Source organism: Homo sapiens, chromosome 18 (assembly GCF_000001405.40).
Source record: "Homo sapiens chromosome 18, GRCh38.p14 Primary Assembly".
Lineage (NCBI taxonomy): Eukaryota > Metazoa > Chordata > Mammalia > Primates > Hominidae > Homo > Homo sapiens.
The window spans coordinates 74,234,951-74,253,754 of NC_000018.10; the positions used below are offsets into that span (position 1 = coordinate 74,234,951).

General features: G+C 44.9%; 1 protein-coding gene across 3 annotated transcripts in view, besides 3 other annotated features; it reads right to left on the reverse strand.

Annotated features, from left to right (window-relative positions):
- Positions 2,682 to 3,181: an enhancer, noted in NCBI's record as "H3K4me1 hESC enhancer chr18:71904867-71905366 (GRCh37/hg19 assembly coordinates)". NCBI's record gives its function as "activates a minimal SCP1, AML or CMV promoter by ChIP-STARR-seq in primed H9 embryonic stem cells {active_cell/tissue: H9 hESC(primed)}" and the evidence as "EXISTENCE:reporter gene assay evidence [ECO:0000049][PMID:30033119]".
- Positions 7,664 to 7,958: an enhancer, noted in NCBI's record as "tiled region #12176 K562 Activating DNase matched - State 5:Enh". NCBI's record gives its function as "activates a minimal TATA promoter and a strong SV40 promoter by Sharpr-MPRA in K562 cells {active_cell/tissue: K562}" and the evidence as "EXISTENCE:reporter gene assay evidence [ECO:0000049][PMID:27701403]".
- Positions 15,330 to 16,265: an enhancer, noted in NCBI's record as "NANOG-H3K27ac hESC enhancer chr18:71917515-71918450 (GRCh37/hg19 assembly coordinates)". NCBI's record gives its function as "activates a minimal SCP1, AML or CMV promoter by ChIP-STARR-seq in naive H9 embryonic stem cells {active_cell/tissue: H9 hESC(naive)}" and the evidence as "EXISTENCE:reporter gene assay evidence [ECO:0000049][PMID:30033119]".
- CYB5A (cytochrome b5 type A) overlaps positions 15,896 to 18,804 on the reverse strand; it is a 41,118-nt gene continuing 38,209 nt past the window's right edge. For all 3 annotated transcript variants that reach the window (NM_001190807.3, NM_148923.4, NM_001914.4), the window contains one exon: positions 15,896 to 18,715. In NM_001190807.3, the coding sequence (NP_001177736.1) occupies positions 18,634 to 18,715 (82 nt within the window). In that variant the 3' untranslated portion in view covers positions 15,896 to 18,633. The remainder of the gene's footprint in view (positions 18,716 to 18,804) is intronic.

The window sequence follows — 18,804 nt, forward strand, 5'->3', positions numbered from 1 at the left end:
AATAGATACATTACACACAGGAAGAGTTTGTATGCAAACTCTGGTATGACTCCTCCAAAAAAAAGCAAAAGCCTATTACCTGATGAGACATGATGTGTTAATACTACTTAATTATGACTTCAAGGCCGGGCGCAGTGGTTCATGCCTGTAAGCCAAGGGAGGCCAAGGCAGATGGATCACTTGAGGTCAGGAGTTCTAGACCAGCCTGGCCAACATGGTGAAACCCTGTCTCGACTAAAAATACAAAACTGAGCTCAGTGTCGTGGCACAGCTACGTAATCCCAGCTACTCAGGAGGCTGAGGTAGGAGAATCTCTTGGACTGGGGAGGCAGAGGTTGCAGTGAGCTGAGATTGTGCCAATGCACTCCAGTCTGAGCGACAGAGTGAGACTCCATCTCAAAAAAAAAAAAAAAAAAAAAAAAAGATATGGCTTCAAGTTCAGGCTGTAGTTGCTTTACAGAAAAAGAAACCTGTTGAACAACATGAGCAGAAAAATCAACTGTTTACATCTTGTGCATTCTAACCTAGAAAACCTCCCTTCAGCCTATGAAATTGGCACTGGTCTGACTTACCTCACCATGTCCAAATCCTTGCTGGCGGTTTCCAAATACTGGCTTGAGGTTTTTAAAAAATTCAAATATCTCTTTGCAACTTGAAGTCCCTTCAATCTATTCTCTAACAAATGTATGGGAAGGCATCAATTTTAGGCCATGCCGATGTTTGAGGTGAGAGAATGTCCACCTTGGATGCAGCTGACAGCTGAGGCTGCTGTCATACCCCACATGAAGTGGGGCTCTGAGGGCTAACCCACTTCCATTTGCTGAACTCAGCTGGATTTTGCTCAGAATTATAGTTTATTCAGGCTGGGGCAGAATCCCCAGGGACTGTCAGGACCAGTTCTGTTGGAAACCTGAGGCCAGTTGGTCTGACCCCTCGGGCAGGGCCATAGGAGCCAGCAGTGGTCTCGGCAGCAGCAAACTTTTACATCTCTGTGCATCACCTGAGCTTTGCAGCAGGAGGAGTGAGGGGCGGCAGCAGCTGCGCAGAGACAGGTTCTGGAGCAACCAGTTCCCGGGACATAGGGATACACACACTCCTTCCTCAGGGACAGGATTCTAAGTTCTGTGTTATATTTGTTAGAAGTCTTTGAGTTGTAGAAAAACCCACCCACCTAAAATTGTCTTAGAAAATCAAGGAAATTTATAAGTTTCAACATTTAAGTTGAAAGAGATTTCCATTCTTGTAGGTCAGCACTTGCCAAATTATCAGCAATATCATATGCTTCCAACCTTCTTATTAGAAGTCCACAATAGGTGTGGCTTCGAGAGAGGCATGATCCGCAGCTCAGCCAGCATGTCCAAGGACTCAGAGTTTCCCAGTCTTTCTAACCCACCTTCCATGTTGACAGGCTCAGCCTCAATCTCTGTGAGTCCCCACCCCAGAAGGACCCAAGATACCTCATGACGTCAACATGGCCATGGCAGCTCCAGACACATGCCTTTACATCCCACCACCAGGGGAGGAAAGCAGTCTCTCCTGAACACACACACAGCAGGGAAGCAGGTCCACGTTCCAAGGAACACTGGTGAAATTCCTTCTGCCTCCTTGGTTCTGATAGAGTGGAATCATTTCCCACTAGGCCAGGGATGGGATGTTCTTTAAGCTCAAGTGAATCCTAACTCAGCCTGGAGTTAGGTGAGGGGTCAATCCCACCTATGTCCCATAGCTGAAAACGAGGGAAGCAGATCTCCCGAGTTAAATCTGGGTGCTGTTACTGGAAGGAGAGTGGATATTCAGTTGTTAAAAAAAAAAAAAGCCTACTGCTCACTCCAAGTACAGAGACAGGTGTCAACTGAACAAGCATTTAAACTTAGTGAGCCCCCCAGGGCTAGATTTCCTCAAGGAGGAATCTTTCAGGGACCAAAGGACCTAACCTCCTGCTGGTCGGGCATGCAGGGCCTCGAGCTGGTCTTTGAATGGAAACTGGATAAGAGTGTTTGTGCCCAAGCTTCAGAGGCCAAGCACATGCCCACACAGTGGTCTCGGAGCCAGCCAGCCTCGCAGTGCTATTCCATATCCTTCCATAGGCCTGGTCACTCCCTATTTTGTTCTTATGGCACTTGTTGCAAACCTCTTCTTTCTCTCCACCACCTCCCTCTCCCTCTCAGTGGGTGGCTTCAGGAATAGGGGACAATAGGCGTGAAATTTAAATTTCCCTTTTTCCTCCCCTTCCCCTACTCCCAATGTCAGGGACATTCTTGCCTCCTTGGTCCTTCTAGGAAGTCTCATTCCGAGACTCCCAGGACCTTGGCTGTCTGTTAGCCCCGTCCCCAACAGCCTCTGCCCATACACAGCTCTTGCAGCATTGAAACACCCATTAGTATCTTCCACCTTTAAAACAAAAATGAAATGAAGAGCCACCACCACCTGCCCATCTCTTTCCCCCGGATCACAGCCAGGGTTCCTGAAATGGCAGTCCCCGCTCTTCTCGTCCACTGCGCACCTCCTGGCCTTCCTCTGCCCTGGGGGCTGCCCTGGATCTGCCCGTGGGTGGTGGCTGCTGTTGCTCCCCCAGAAGACACGTTCCGTCCTAATCTCAGCATAACTGGGTGAGCACAGGGACCTTAGAGACCAACAAGAGGAGCTGACTCTCGCTCCGGCACCCACTTTTCTGGGATCTTGGCTGCTGCATTTTTAAAATGGAGATACTGATCACTTTCTACTCCTCTGTGTGCCATGAGGATGAGATGAGGTCATCCACATCACACCCTCTGAGGTTGCCTGGGCCCTGGTGAGCCCTGCACACATGCTGTCTTGGTGGTCTTGCTCTCCCTGGCCCTGCAGCCCAGGGCACTGCCCAGCACGCTGCTGCCATCTGTGGCTGCGTCTCCCATGGGCTCCCATCCCCGGCTCTCTGATCTCATCCCACATACCCTTCCCAAGGACTGCAGCATCCAGGTGGCCTCAGTGACTTCCATGAGCTGATGACCCTCCAGCCATATCTCCCATCCAGACATCCTCATCCCCTTCCAGAACGTTCTCTCTGGAAGACACAGCACCTTGATCATCATGTATCCCCAGTGCTTTCTACAGAAACTGACATAGGGAAGTGTTTCCCACTCCTGAGTGACTGGATGGATAAGAGATTCGGAATGAAAGCAGAGCGTCACACTATCATATGCTTGAAGTTGTAAGAGGAGTCGATTTTGGCCAAGGAATGTGACTGGAGAAAAGCAGATGGCACAAGACAAGACAGAGGCCTGGGGAGCAGCCCAAGCAGAGGGGTGGAAGGAACAGCCCTCCCACCTCGCAGGCCTCCTGAAAACTCTGGGTGGGGCAGGGCTCCTCCTCCTTCAGGGCAGGGCCCACGATTCTCCGTCCCTCAAAAGCTGCTGGAGATCTCACTGCTGTGGGTCTCCCAGGACACACTGAGGAGCCGGGGTTTAGAGGTCGCTAATTCCCCTTAAAAATAAATGCATGTATACTTTATCACAATAAAAAAAATGGTACATATGGATTACCTTTAATAATAATGTAACCCTTTGCTTGTTGATATGGATGGATTTCTTCAATAAACTGTTAAGTGAAAAACAGTCTTTCCAATAGGATTCCATTTTTATAAGGGAATACGAGAAATAATTCTGAAAGGATATAAGTTAAAGTGCTAGTTGCCCCCAAAACAAAAACAAATAAATAGGACCTATTTAAACTAAAAAGCTTCTGCACAGCCAAAGAAAAATCAGCAGAGTAAACAGACAACCCACAGAGTGGGAGAAAATACTTGCAAACCATGCATCTGACAAAGGACTAATATCCGGAATCTACAAGGAACTCAAAGGAATCAGCAAGAAAAAACAACCCCATCAAAAAGTGGCCAAAGGACATGAATAGACAATTCTCAAAAGAAGATATACAGACATCCAACAAACATATGAAAAAATGTTCAACATCACCAATCATGAGAAAATTGCAAATTAAGAACACAATGAAATACCACCTTACTCCTGCAAGAATGGCCATAATTAAAAAGTCAAAAAATAATAGCTGTTGGCATGGATGTGGTAAAAAGGGAACACTTTTATGCCACTGGTGGGAACATAAACTAGTACAACTGTGGGAAACAGTGTGGAGATTCCTTAAAGAATGACAAGTAGAACTACCATTTGATCAAGCAATCCCACTGCTGGGTATCTACCCAGAGGAAAAGAAGGCATTATATGAAAAAGACACTTGCACACACATGTTTACAGCAGCACAACTCGCAATTGAAAAGATACGGAACCAACCTAAGTGCCCATCAACCAATCAGTAGATAAAGAAAAGGTAGTATATGTAAACCATGAAATACTACTCAGCTGTAAAATGGAACAAAGCAATGGCCTTTGCAGCTACTTGGATGGAGCTGGAGGCTCTTATTCCAAGTGAAGTAACTCTGGAATGGAAAAGCAAACAGTGTGTATTCTCACTTATAAGTGGGAGCTAAGCTATGAGGATACAAAGGCATAAGAATGAAATAATGGACTTCGGAGACTCCGGGGGAAGGTTGGGAGGGGGGTGAGGGATGAAAGACTACACATTGGGTATAGTGTACACTGTTTGGGTGACAGGTGCACCAAAATCTCAGAAATTACCACTAAAGAACTTATCCATGTAACCAAAAACCACCTGTACCCCAAAAACTATTGAAATAAAAAATAAAATGCTATTGTCATTATTTTTAGGTGGCCACCAAGCGACTGTTATGATTTAAATTTATTTTTACACATTTCTGATTTGTATGTCCTCTTTTGTTTTTTTAAATGAATATATATAATAATTAATTATTAATTAAATGGAAATTCCATTTAAATAATTTAAATGCCTGAAAAACAAACTTTTTTATAAATACATGCATTTTGATAGGCTTAGGAAGGCCACTTCCTAAGCCTATCAATAAATTCACATATTTATAAAGAGACCCAGAGGCCTCCCTGTGCCTGCTCTTGGCCACCTGCAGTCTATAGTCTCTGATGCATTTCTCCAAATGTAAATCAGATCCTGTCTGTTGCAGCCATGCTGGCCTCCTTGTTCTTCAAATATGCCAGGCACACTGCTGCCTCAGAGCCTTTGTACACTTATTTCCCTCTCTCGGGGATGCTTTCATCAAATATTTTCAAGCTCATTCCTACACTTCATGCAGGTTGCCACCCAGATGTTCCCAATTCACAGATGAGCTTCTAATCACCCTTATTAAAATCACATGGCTTTCCAAGCCTCTCCACTTTCCTCTTTCCATAACACTTTTTCACTGACTGGTGTTCCATGCATGTCTCTTTACTTACCTGTGGTCTGCAGATGTCCCCGTGGAATGCAGCTTCCAAAGGGCCGGGACGGTGGGCACTTGTTTAGGGCTGTACCCCCAGGCTGAGAACGGCTCTCGGCACATGGTACTGCTTAATGCATGGGTGGGGGATGAATTTTAGGAACAGTTGTGTAAACTACACAGGGATTATTTTTTTCCTTCATTCTTAATAAACTCTTCTCAAGGGCTTCTGCCAGTTGGAAAAAGCAGCTTAGCAGTTAAAGACATCTTTCGCTGAGATCACCAAGTACTTTTCTTCCCCTGAGTGGACAAAGTCACGTGTAAGTAGTGATTCTTGATCTTTAGGGGATCACAGACCCCTTAAGGATTCTGGAAAAGTCATTTCTTCTCAGAAAGATGCACGTATGAACAGAATGCTTCATGTAATTTCTGGAGGTCTAAGGACTCCCTGGAGCTGCTTTTTGAAGTAGAGATCGGCCACTCTGAATTTCAGGTGCCACTCATTTAAGCCTAATTGTTATTCGGCTGGGCCAGAAGCTACTAGAAAGAACTTTGCTTGGGTTTCTTTCACTGAGAGACAGGTAACTCCTACTCATACAATGGCAGTTGTTTCTGAGAGAATACACAGAGAACCAAGAATTATAAATGGAAATTTATAATGTGAGCTCGAGATAGGGGAGAACAAAGCGATAGTCTAGATTCAGCAGTATAAACTTCAGAGGAAGTTCCATCAGTTCAGCTCAGCTTACTCGCCAGCTTACCTGTCTCTCTCCACGTCCTCTGAAATGCAAATAATCAATGCCCACGGGGTACTGACCTGCACAGTTGCCTGCCTTCTTGACTGCCTGCACACTCCTGCTCCAACTCGCTTATCAGTGTACTTGTTCCCACTCTGCTTATTTTAGCTTTATTTCTTATTTTATTTTTTTAGAGATGGAGTCTCACTCTGTCACCCAGGCTGGAGTGCAGTGGCACGATCTTGGCTCACTGCAACCTCTACCTCCTGAGTTCAAGCAATTCTCCTGCCTTAGCCTCCCACGTAGCTGGGATTATAGGCACCCGCCACCATGGCCAGCTAATTTTTGTATTTTTAGTAGAGATGGGGTTTTGCCACGTTGGCCAGGCTGATCTCGAACTCCTGACCTCAGGTGATCCGCCCACCTCAGCCTCCCAAAGTGCTGGGATTACAGGTGTGAGCCACCATGCCCGGCATTATATTAGCTTTAAATGTATTTACAATTACACTAATTGAATATGATGTAACCTGAGGAAAAATACAAGTTCAAAAGGAGAGATGTCCCCATAAAAACTATGTTGGATGCTGTTAAAAGCTTTGATAAAGGGATTGTTAAAATGACTCATTAGGCATGTGCAAGGCAGCTGTAAAAGACCAGGAAGAAAAATTCTAAAACTCTAAGACTTCTATGGTATGGAGATAGCTTTGGAAGCTTCTTTACGTTCTCATTCCACATTAAAGTAAGAGAAAGGGACATTTCGGATGCATCGTGGTTACAGAACTCCTATCAGAGGATCCAGACCCAAAAGATAAATCAAAAAAGCTCTTGGCAAATGAACTTAAAATGAGTTAAAATATAATCGTTTTCCACTTTACCTGACTTTGAGTAATCAACCATCCACCCATATAGTTAAGGGCATTCTATCTACTACATTCTAAAAATAGGGAGAGGAGACAGCCAACCCGAAATCATGAAAGAAATTAAGGCAATCTATGAGCACCGTTAAATTAATTTTTTATGAAGTTGTAATGCCATCAGGCCTGTATTGTTTTTTCTTTGCAAAGTCATGGCTCAGGAAACTGACAAATACTAGATACTTTGTAATCCCAAAGAGAAGAGAGCTTTAAAGCTGTAGAGGAACACAGGGAGAGAGGCACGTGCTACAGGTTTGCTTGGGTGAGAAGGGTTTCATGAGGACAGAAGTGAAAGTTATGGAATCCAGTTTGAACTCGAAACATACAGGGAAGCAGCCACAAATGGGTATGATTCTCAGGAGAGATAACTCTGAAAAAATATTAAAGGAAACATGAAGAACCATTGGAGAAAAAGGGCAAAAATCTACTCCATGGTTTCCCTAAAAGGATTTTGTTTTCTCTAACACATGAAAACTCCAACCAGAAACATTTTAGCTGCTCTAAATCACATCTGTGAATTCTGCAAGTTTCTGCAAGTTACTGCGAGTCTAGGAGTAAATCAGTAACGAAGCCGGCGCAAAGAGGAGAGAGAAAAGTGCTTAGTTATTGCTAGGTCTCAGTAGTAAGTCTTGGATGCTGAAATAATCAGTATTTTCCAGGAGGAGGGTGTCACTTGGGGGCGCCTAAAGCCAATAGATTCTTAGTTAAAAGGAAAGGCTGTTAGGCACTGGCCATAGTGCCAAGAACGTGAACTTCATCAACACCGAAGTCTACAGACTCAGGGTAGTGGCGAGCATGCTGAAGTTATGAGATACCGCAGATCAGCAGAGATAAAGAGGAACTGAGTTTATCAAACTCAGGTCCAAGAGCACAGAACTCCCCTGACCTCCGAGAACGAGCCGGCCCTGCCCTCCTACATGTTTGCTGTTGATAATCTTCCGCCCGCCCTCGCCCTCAGTCTTTTGGGCTGACACTAAGATCTAGGCACTAGCTTGACCTTCCAGAGTGTTTCACAAGCTTCCAGGATCTGGTGTACTAAGAATATGACAAACTTTGTCAGATAACATCTGTCTCTGCCTCTTGCCACGCTGACAAACTGTTGGAGTCTGAAAGTTCCCGTGCTCCAGTATGCACAGCCTGGACATCCTGCAGTTCTCAAAACCCCCTGCCTCTAAAGGCTGAGTTTGTAGGGTGCTTCAGAGCTGCCTGGGGCTGGGGGGCAAGAGTGATATCAAAGTGGTGTTTTAGTGAGAATAATCTCATCATGATGGGCACAAGAGATTGAAAATAGAGACTGGAAGTGGGAGACCAGTTAGGGGACTTCAGTTAACAATCACCTCCTTTGTCTCAGGAACTGGATGAGGCTCAGAGAATACACTGCAGGACAGAAATAATGGCCTGGGCAGATCCAGATGCGAGTAGGAAGTGAGCTTTTGCAGCAGTAACTCAGAGCAGCCGAGCTGCAGCCTAGATGAGGGCCGTGGCACTGGAGGTGGAGAGGAGGGATGGGCACTAGCAAGAGAGTAGACAGAGCAGCCACTGAGGCTATCTAGAAACAAACAGTACACATCAGCGATCAGTTTATCTTCAGCTGCAAAAGTCATATATTTAATTCCAACCATATGTAAGTGAACAAAGTATGGAGTGAAACAGTAAAAGCCCCTCCTCTGGCTTCACATCTCACCCTTTACAAGAAGCCACTCTTAACCGAGTGGTGATTGTAGGAAGCAATGCCGAAGGTGAGGGGTGTGAAGAAGAAACCCTGTTTCTGGCATGACCTGGGTGGATGCTCCTGAGATAAGAAACACTGAGGCTGGGCACGATGGCTCACACCTGTAATCCCAGTACTTTGGGAGGCTGAGGCGGACAGATCAGGTGGCATGCACCTGTAATCCCAGCTACTTGGGAGGCTGAGGCAGGAGAATCGCTTGAACCCAGGAGGCAGAGGTTTCAGTGAGCCGAGATAGCGCCATTGCACTCCAGCCTGGGCAACAAGAGTGAAATTCCATCTCAAAAAAAAAAAAAAAAAAAGAAAGAAAAGAAAAGAAAGAAAGAAATGCTGGACGGGACAATTTCTTGGGCATAGAGAATGAGTTCACCTTGACTATGTTGAGTTTTTTTATACAATAGCTCTGCTGAAATATAATTCCCATACCACACAGTTCACCCATTGAAAGTGTACAGTTCGATGGCTTTTAGTACATTTAGAGTTATGCAACCATCACCATAATTCATTTCAGAACGTGTTTATCAATCCCCAAAGAAATCCTGCACCCGTTATCAGCCACTCCCCAGTTTTCTTCAGCCTTCTTCCCAGCCCTAGGTAACCACTTTCTGTCTCTATGGATTTGCCTATTCTGAACATTTCATATCAATAGAATCATACCATTTGTAGCCTGTTACGAATGGCTTCTTTCATTTAGCAAATGTTTTCAAAGGTTCAGCCATGTTCTAGCATGTATAGTACATTTTACTGCAGAGTAATATTCCACTGTATAGGCATAAGGCGACTTGTTTATCCACTCATCTACTGATGAACTTTTGGGTTGTTTCCAGCTTGGGGCTATTATAAATAATGCTATGAGCATTCACATAACAAGTTTTTGTCTAAACACATGTTTTTCCTTCTTTTCGGTATATACCTAGCAGTGGAATTGTTAAGTCATGTAGTAATTCTGTTTAACTTTTTGAGGAACTGCTATACTCTTTTCCGCAGAGGTTGAACCATTTTACATTCTCACCAGCAATGCACAAGGGTTACAATTTCTCCACCTTTGTCAGAACTTGGTAGTGTCTGACTTTTTGATTATAACCTTCCCCATGGGTGTGAAATGGCATCTTGTGGTTTTGATTTGCATTTCCCTAATGACTAATGATACTGAGCATGCTAATCCTGCTTATCGGCCATTCATGCACTTTCATCTGGAGAACTATCCATTCAGATCTTTTGCCCATTTTTAACTTGAGTTGTCTTTTGTTGAGTTGTCAGGGTTCTTTATATATTCTAGATACAGGTCCCTCAGATACCTGATTTGTAAGTATTTTCTCACATCCTGTGTCATCTTTTCGGTTACTTGATGGTGTCCTTTGAAACAAAAGTTTTTAATTATGATGAAGTTCAGTTCATCTATTTCTTCTTTTGCTGTGTGTGCTTTTGTTATCTAAGAAACCATTTCCTAATCCAAAGTCATTAAGATTTATGCCTATGTTTTCTTCCAAGACAAATATGGATTTTTGTGTGCATGTTCATGAACTGGCGAACTAAGAAAAGAAATGTGAAGTAATGCTACCATTACTTATAACAAGGTTAAATTTTTCTTTTTCTTTTTTTTGAGATGGATCTCACCTGTTGCCCAGATTGGAGTGCAGTTACCCAATCTCGGCTCACTGCAACCTCTGCCTCCCAGGTTCAAGCGATTCTCCTCCCGAGTAGCTGGGATTACCAGCACGCACCACCACACCCGGCTAATTTTTGTATTTTTAGTAAAGACGGGGTTTCACCATATTGGTCAGGCTGGTCTTGAACTCTTGACCTCAGGTGATCCACCTGCCTTGGCCTCCCAAAGTGCTGGGATTACAGGCGTGAGCCATGGTCATGGCTGATGTTAAATGTGTCCATGTGACAATTCTCACATGATCTCTCCTTAAACAGCTATTGACTTATAAACATGACAAGCATAATCATAATGGTAAAATAAATTCAGCTTAGCAATAGCATATTAAGATAATGAAACAATAATTCTCAAAGTTGGTGAAGGTTCTCCATATGATGTTACTTAAAATTATCAAGTGAATTTCAAATTCTTTCTACTGCAACTTCAAAGTGTTCCTTTATTTCCAGAATTCCCTCGTGGCTGCAAGAATATTAAAACAAGTCAAACTTTCTAATCTAAAAATGACAACATGGCATTTTAATGGTTTCTTAAATTATCTGGACTAAAGGTAACATTTTGCATTTTTTTTTCGGGAGACCTAAGGTTTTCAAAAAGCAAATTTGTTTCACTTGCTTCTTTCTTCTTTAAAAGGAGTGGAGATGGTGGAGCCCACGGCATCCCATCTCTGGTTGTATGCTTGTTTCTAGGCCAATCATGAAGCCCTTGGTCAACTTCAGCCTGGTCCTACAGATTCCAAATACAACCAGATGCAGAGCTGGCTGCATGGCAACTGAGACCATGCCGGGACCACCCACCCACCCTCAAGCTAGACATTCTACTCCTGGTCTTCATGGAGGCTGTGGTCCATGTCCAACTTCATGGCCTACTGGACTCTGTGCCTTCAGTAGGAAGGAGGAGTGACCAGAAGCTGGGGCTAGAGAGAAGAGCAGAGAAAGAAGCCTCACTATTTTTTCATTTTTAAGGACTTTTCCTGACAGATGTCTCCTTCCCACCAACAACTTGGGTTGTGTTTTCCATCTTGATTAAAATATTCGCATTTCAGTCAAAAAATCAAGGAAGACTGTGATTTATGTTTCAGGATTTACATAATGATTTAGTGATCTCTTAATATTCAGACATTATTGATTGATTACAAAATATGTCTCCTCACAGAACCCCTTTGACACCCCATCCCTATTGGACAAACTCGTGCCCTTTTCGATTGCTTCTGAGCTTCCCTGGCAGGTGCTGAGTGCCCAGCACACTTCTTCCTGCTGGCCTCTGCCGGCCACACCTCCGCTAAGCAGCTGAGCATCAGACTTGACATCAATCCGTGCCCCCATTGTCTTCCCACCTCCCCATACTCTCCCTGTACCCCGACTGTCTCCATGTCCCCCATAGTCTTCCTGTCCCCCCACTATCTCCCCACCCCCATCTCCCCATCCTCCTGCTATCTCCCCATCCTCCCGCTATCTGCCTGTCCCCCTGTTATCTCCCCATCCCCCACTATCTCCCAATTCCCCATCTCCCCACACCCCATCTCCCCACCACCCCACTATCTCCCCATCCCCCCACTATCTCCCCATTGTCCCGTTATCTCCCCATCCCCCATCTCCCCATCCCCTATCTCCCCATCCCCCGCTATCTCCCCATCCTCCGCTATCTCCCCATCCGCCCACTATCTCCCCATCCCCCACTATATCATCCCCCACTATCTCCCCACCCCCATCTCCACAGCCCCCACTATCTCCCCATCCCCCCATTGTCATCTCCCCACCCCCCACTATCTCCTCACCTCCCCATTGTCTCCCCACCCCCTCACTATCTCCCCATCCTCCCATTGTCTCCCCATTGTCTCCTGGCTTCTGTGTCCACTCCTCCCAGGAGATGGCAGAGCTCTCAGCAGGGGCCCTGCCATTCCTCTTCCCTTGCCCTTGGTAATGCTGATGACCAAGGAGTGACACTCACCTTCCAGGGTGACAGCACGACCCCAAATGCCAGTGCTCCCCACCCTGATGTGGAGCCAAACCAAATGGTGCCTTCAGATAAGGTGACAGAGTGGACAACAGTGATCACAGGAGAGAGAAAGGGGAGCTTTATATACTGGGCCAGCCTGGCCTTCTAGGGATTTCTATACATGGATGTGATTATTAGCTGCAATTACTGCAATCAGCTTTGTTTTGCTCAAATTTTATACACCAAACACCTCATCTTAACATAAAGCAATCTTTAAGAGGTCCGGATGGGAAAGTGCAAACACGAATTAGACACATGGGCCAGCAGTGGACGGCTGCTCTGTGGTCATTTCAATCCTCACCCGCTGAGGAGCCACCATCCCCTCACATCTGTGGGGCAGGAGGAGCACACATCGTGTGTCCGAGTGTTTTAATGTTGTGCAGCCACTGACAAGTCTTAAAATATACCCCATCCACCTGCCTTGACAAATGGCCAGAAAGGTCACTTTTGAAGTTAGGATTTTCAGATTCATCAAAGTTCTGTGCCAGATGGTGGTGGCATTGGAAGAGTCAGCTCCCAGCTCCCCGCTTCCCTTCTCAGCGCCAGTCCACTCACATGCAGGGTCCAAGTGCACTCAGGAAGACCCTACCTGCAGACCCCACCTGCTCATCCAGGGTGTCCAACTCTCTGAAGACCACCAGCCCTCGTCTACTCTTTCGGCCCTGATGTGCACCCCCCAGAGCCTGGTGACCCTCAGGAGGATGAGCTGGGGAGACCCAGACCTACAGGCAGGATTGGGCTGTGTGTGGGGGGTACTAGGGTTTGGAGGGGTACAGGCTCCAGGTGGGCACATCCTTGGCCCATGGGGAAGCCCACAGCCAGTGGACCAGACGGGGTCCTCCGAGTGGGCAGGACCTCTAGTCGAGGCCTAAGGGAAGCGTTGCTCATGAATTATATCAATAGGAAAGTAAGATTCCGCAAGGATAAGTAATTTACTCAAAACGATGCAGCTAGCAAGCAGGAGGGCCAGGTTTCCAACCGCGGTCTCCAAGCCTCCCAAGCCTTCCTTTCTGCCCAAGAGTGACTTCAGATTTTCAGTACAACAGATGTCTTCCGGAAAGAGAAGGTGTTTTTCATTCTGTCCCTGCTTTATAGTATCAAAGATGCCTTACCTTTATTTTAAAACAATACTTTCAGATTTAGTCATTCCAACTTACAGTTAGGAGTACAGAGTCTTAAAAAATCAAATCAAAGACTTAGAAGCCACGGAAAATATGAAAACAATTCACAATTTAGTTTCAACTCAAAACCTTGAATGTTTCTGTGAGCCAGGCTATGTGCTGAGGCCTTGGACTGATGAGCTAACAAATAAAAAGCAATTTTTTAAATATTTTGCAAGAAAAACATTCAGGCAGGCTGATGTCAAAATTAAGTGTGTAGTGCATAACCTCACTCAATATACACTATCAATGCTTGAAACTTATGTTGTGATTTCACAGTGTGGCCAGGCCATGGAGAAAGGATGTGGGGACAGGTGTGTGAGGCGGTGGCGGGCAGAGGCAGCCAGTCAGAACAAGCTCCTGCCACGAGCTAGTGCTCTTCACATATTCTACTTAAATTACCCTTACAAGAATGTTGAAAAACACCTTCAGTTGCCCTTTAAAATTTTCATAATGAGTTTAAATATTTACAAAGGGCATCGTTATGCAACATTTGAAATATTGACATTTTAAAATAAAGCTGAAATATCACTCTTTAAAATTTGCTAAGTGGAATTTAAATATCAATGCAATTTGCCATTACCCTTTTGTAATAGATGCAGAAACACTCTTAGTAGAAAGAAATTGTACATTGTTCCTTTTTCTCCTTGACCTCATAGGTCTATTTCTTCTCCCCAGTTTTATCCTAATGAAAAATATTATGACAGTCTTTTGCCTCCCAATCACATTGTCTATAATGGAAATGTACACATACCAGTGAAATTAAACATTTGATTTTGATTTTCTGTGGACCCATATCACAAGATGATTTCATGTATCTGACCAGTCTCCCAGGGCACTCCTGAGGGAGGGAGGCCTTCATCAAAGACAGTGAAAGCATGGTAGAACAGATATTGCTCAATGCAATGTCATCACCCCTGCTGCTGACTGTCCATGTGAACTCCAACCACCCTCCAGAAGGCTAAATCGCCCCGTTCCTACTCTATGATTCACCGTCAGCAGAGCACACGCCAGACAAGGAAAGCACAAAGCCTGACTTGGGGTGGGGTACCTTGATTAAAGAAGTGTCTCTATTACAGAGACTCACGACCCCACTATGTACCATGTTTGACAGTAGCTTTCACATCCAATATTAAAATTCAGGATGGGTGAGAAATAGGTCTCTGTCACAGATGGAATGTCTCCCCCAAATTCCCATATGGAAACCCTGTCCCCTAATGTGCAGGTATGAGGAGGTGGGGTAGTATCGTGTCATCATAAGAGTCCCGAGACAGCTTGCTTCCTCTCCCTACCATGTGAGTACGCCGAATCTGCTGGCACCTTAATCTTGGACTTCCAGCCTCTAGAACTGTGAGAAGCAAATGTTTGCTTTTTAAGCCACCCAGTCCAAGGTATTTTGTTGGAGTGGCCTGAGCTAAGATCGCCTCTTTCCTGAAAAGTGGGAGAAGAGGAATTGAGTTGAAAGAGAGTAAAGGAAGAAGCGCAGGCATAAACATCAGGTCACTTTGAGAAAAGAATGTGCTGTGGGTTGACCTACGTCCCCCAAAAACATATGTTGAAGTCCTAACCCCAGCACCTCAGTGTGACTATTTGGAAACAGGATCATGAAGATGTAATTAGTTAAGATGAAGTCATGCTGGGGTAGGTAATCCAATGTGTCCTTATGACAGAGACACAAAGGGAGAAAAATGTCAGTGACAATAGAGGCAGAGCCCTGGGTGACGCAGCCGGAAGCCAAGGACTGCGAGGTGAGGACTACAAGGTGGGGACCGCCAGGTGAGGACCACATCGAGGACCACCAGGCGAGGACTATGAGGTGAGGACTGTGAAGTGAGGACCACCAGGTGAGGACTGTCAGGTGAGGACCGCCAGGTGAGGACTGTCAGGTGAGGACCGCCAGGTGAGGACTGCTGGCCACCAGTGGCAGCTGGAAGAGGTGAGGAAGGATTCCACCCAGAGTGTCGGAGGGCGAGTGGCCCAGCTGAAACCTTCATTTACAACGTCTGGCCTCTAAATTATGAGAACACATTTCTGTCGTTCTAAGCCACCCAGTTGTGGTGTACTTGGTTACAGCAGCCTAGGGAAACTCCCACAATCTAGGTAGAAGCTGAGGATCCGGACGCCATCTGTGTCTGCACACCTCTCAGAAAGGCTACGCTGCAAAGGAGAATCTGCTTCCAGAACTTCCACTTGCCTTCATCTAGACACCTCCAGAGGAAGGGAGATGCCTGTTCCAACCAGAGCCCTAATCATCAACTCAAACCCAGGAGGTGAGCAACTGACACACGTGCACCCAATACAGTCCCTGTGTTACAGGAAAGGGGTCCCAATCCAGACCCCAGGAGAGGGTTCTTGGACCTCGCACATGAAAGAATTCAGGGCAAGTCCGCAGTGCAAAGTGAAAACAACTTTATTAAGAAAGTCAAGGAATAGGCCCGGCACAGTGGCTCATGCCTGTAATTCCAGCACTTTGCGAGCCTGAGGCGGGTGGATTGCCTGAGGTCAGGAGTTCAAGACCAGCCTGGCTAACATGGTGAAATCCCGTCTCTACTAAAAATACAAAAAAATTAGCTAGGCATGGTGGCATACGCCTGTAGTCCCAGCTACTCAGGAGGCTGGGGCAGGAGAATCACTTGAACCTGGGAGTCGGAGGTTGCAGTGAGCCAAGATCATACCACTGCACTCCAGCCTGGGCGACAGAGTGAGACTCTGTCTCAAAAACAAAAAAAAAAAAAAAAGAAAGTTTACTTTGCCAAGGTTGAGGACATGCCCGTGACAAAGCATCAGGAGGTCCTAATGACATGTACCCAAGGTGGTCAGGGCACAGCTTGGTTTTATGCATTTTAGGGAGACATGAGACATTGATCAATATATGTAAGAAGTACATTGGTTCTGTTTGGAAAGGCGGGACACCTTGAAGCAAAGGCAGGAAGACTCAAAGCAGGAGGGAGCTTCCAGGTCACAGAGAGGTGAGACACAAAGGGTTGCATTCTTCTGAGTTTCTGATTAGCCTTTCCAAAGGAAGCAATCAGATATGCCTCTCTCTCAGTGAGCAGAGGCTTGACTGAGTAGAATGGGAGGCAGGTTGGCCCTAAGCAGTTTCCAGCTTGAGTTTTCCTTAGTGATTCTGGGGGCCCAAGATGTTTTCCTTTCACAAGCAGCAGATGAAAAGAAAGGGCAGCCTCTGAAGTCTCTCACCTCTCTGAAGGGAAAGCAATAGAGAAAAAAGTGTCAAATATCTTTCCTTGAGAGTCTGGCTGCACAAACTGTAAATGTTAAAATTAGGAAGTAAACTCTCCTTTACTCCACATGTTGTTCCCAAAACACATGAAGAAACATTGCCAGCCACAGCAGCAAATTGCTGAGTCACTGATAAAAATGTCAAAGTTCAACTGTTATGTTTCTTAACGATATACAGATGCTATTACTCAACATCTTAAAAATGATTTACAAGTTAACCCTTTAATGTCATCTAAGGTACGACTGACCCACTTCGATTCACTTCATAGTTGATTTAGGAGCAATGTTTTAAAAACTACTAAAATGTGAAGCTTTATAGCTAAAAATCACAACCAAAAATATTGAAATATTTACATAGGTCCCTTAACAAGTGTTGTAATTTATTTTGAAATAGAAACTACTTGTCAACTTTCAGTGACTAAAGAAGGCAAAGGCGGTGCATCCTATTTGATTATAAAGGTTGTACTCTGTAAGAACAACACAATTCCTTTCCACTGCACGCGGTCACTTCTGAAGAACCTCGTGGTTTGTCAGCTCATGCCAGTGCAAATGCAGTCACAGCCAATGACACATGTACTGGGTTCTAACAAATTCAGCTTTCAAGTTTCCACATTTAAAAGAATAACACATAAGGCAGAGAATAATAAATGGGAAGTAAGATGACTGAATCAGCCCCTTAGAGCCCCCAGGAGGAGACAGAGCCACACCAGAACTCTTCAGAGCTTGACACTAGCCGCTAAATTTCTTCAAAGATCAGATTCCAATGTCCCACAATCTCCTTACAAATTAGAAAACCAGCCTTTCCTTAGAAGAGTTTACAAACAATTCTACTCTCTGAATGAGGAATTCTTAAAACTTTAGAACCTATGAAGCTGTGAGTGCCTTTGCAATGATACGTGTAAGCTGAGAGAATGGACAGTTGCGATGCCCTCTCATGGTTCATGTGTTTTTAAGTTGCTGATGTTTTTCAATCAGTGAAGATAAGAAGTCTCTCTTATAGGCCCTGTAGGCTACTTTCTTTTTTTTTTGAGACAGAGTTTCACTCTTGTTGCCCAGCTGGAGTTCAACGGCGCGATCTCAGCTCACTACAACCTCTGCCTCCTGGGTTCAAGCAATTCTCCTGCCTCAGCCTCCCAAGTAGCCGGGATTACAGGCATGCGCCACTACGCCCTGCTAATTTTGTATTTTTAGTAGAGACAGGGTTTCACCATGTTGGTCAGGCTGGTCTTGAACTCCTGACCTCAAGTGATCCACCCACCTCAGCCTCCCAAAGTGCTGGGCTTACAGGTGTGAGCCACGATGCCCAGCCGCTACTTTCTTTTTAAGATCTATTTCAAGTAGGACAATTATTAGAAATCCTTAAACTATAATTTCTGGCCTTTCTTAATTTCCTTGAAAAAAAGAAACTATATCGGAAGCATACAATACATGGTTACTCAATGAGATGTGACGATGTGAAAGGAGACACTCAAACCTATTTCCCGCACCTCCAGTCATATGGCCTCTGTGGGTCTGGATGAGTAACACATTGAAGGAATCCTCTAAATAACCAGATTCTAAACATTAAAGACAATTATACACCAAACAGGCAAACACGGTGCATACTTTAAAAGCCAAATATATTTTTAAAAGATCATGCTTATAATAAGTAAATTACACATTAAGGAAACATCAAAATAAAGTAGATGAATAAAAAGGCACACTCGAAAAATTTGAGCGCAGAAAGGACAGTTCTTTTTGTTTTGTTTCTAATGTCGGAAGAAAAAGAAAGAGATATATTAAAATCATTGTTTTCAAGTGAAGGTTTCTGTCAGTTGAAGTAGTTAGCAATGGCTTCTTTTCTCCCGTGTCCAAAGCAGGCTCTTCCTGCGCTGACTTCTGAGGAGGTGTTCAGTCCTCTGCCATGTATAGGCGATACATCAAGGCGACGGCCACTGCAGAGATGGCAGGGATCACCCAGTTGGTCCACCAACTAGAAAGACACAAAAAGCAATGATGCTGACATGATGTGCACTGTGGTGGACTCAAAATCTTTGCTCCTTCTAACAGAAAATTACCAGG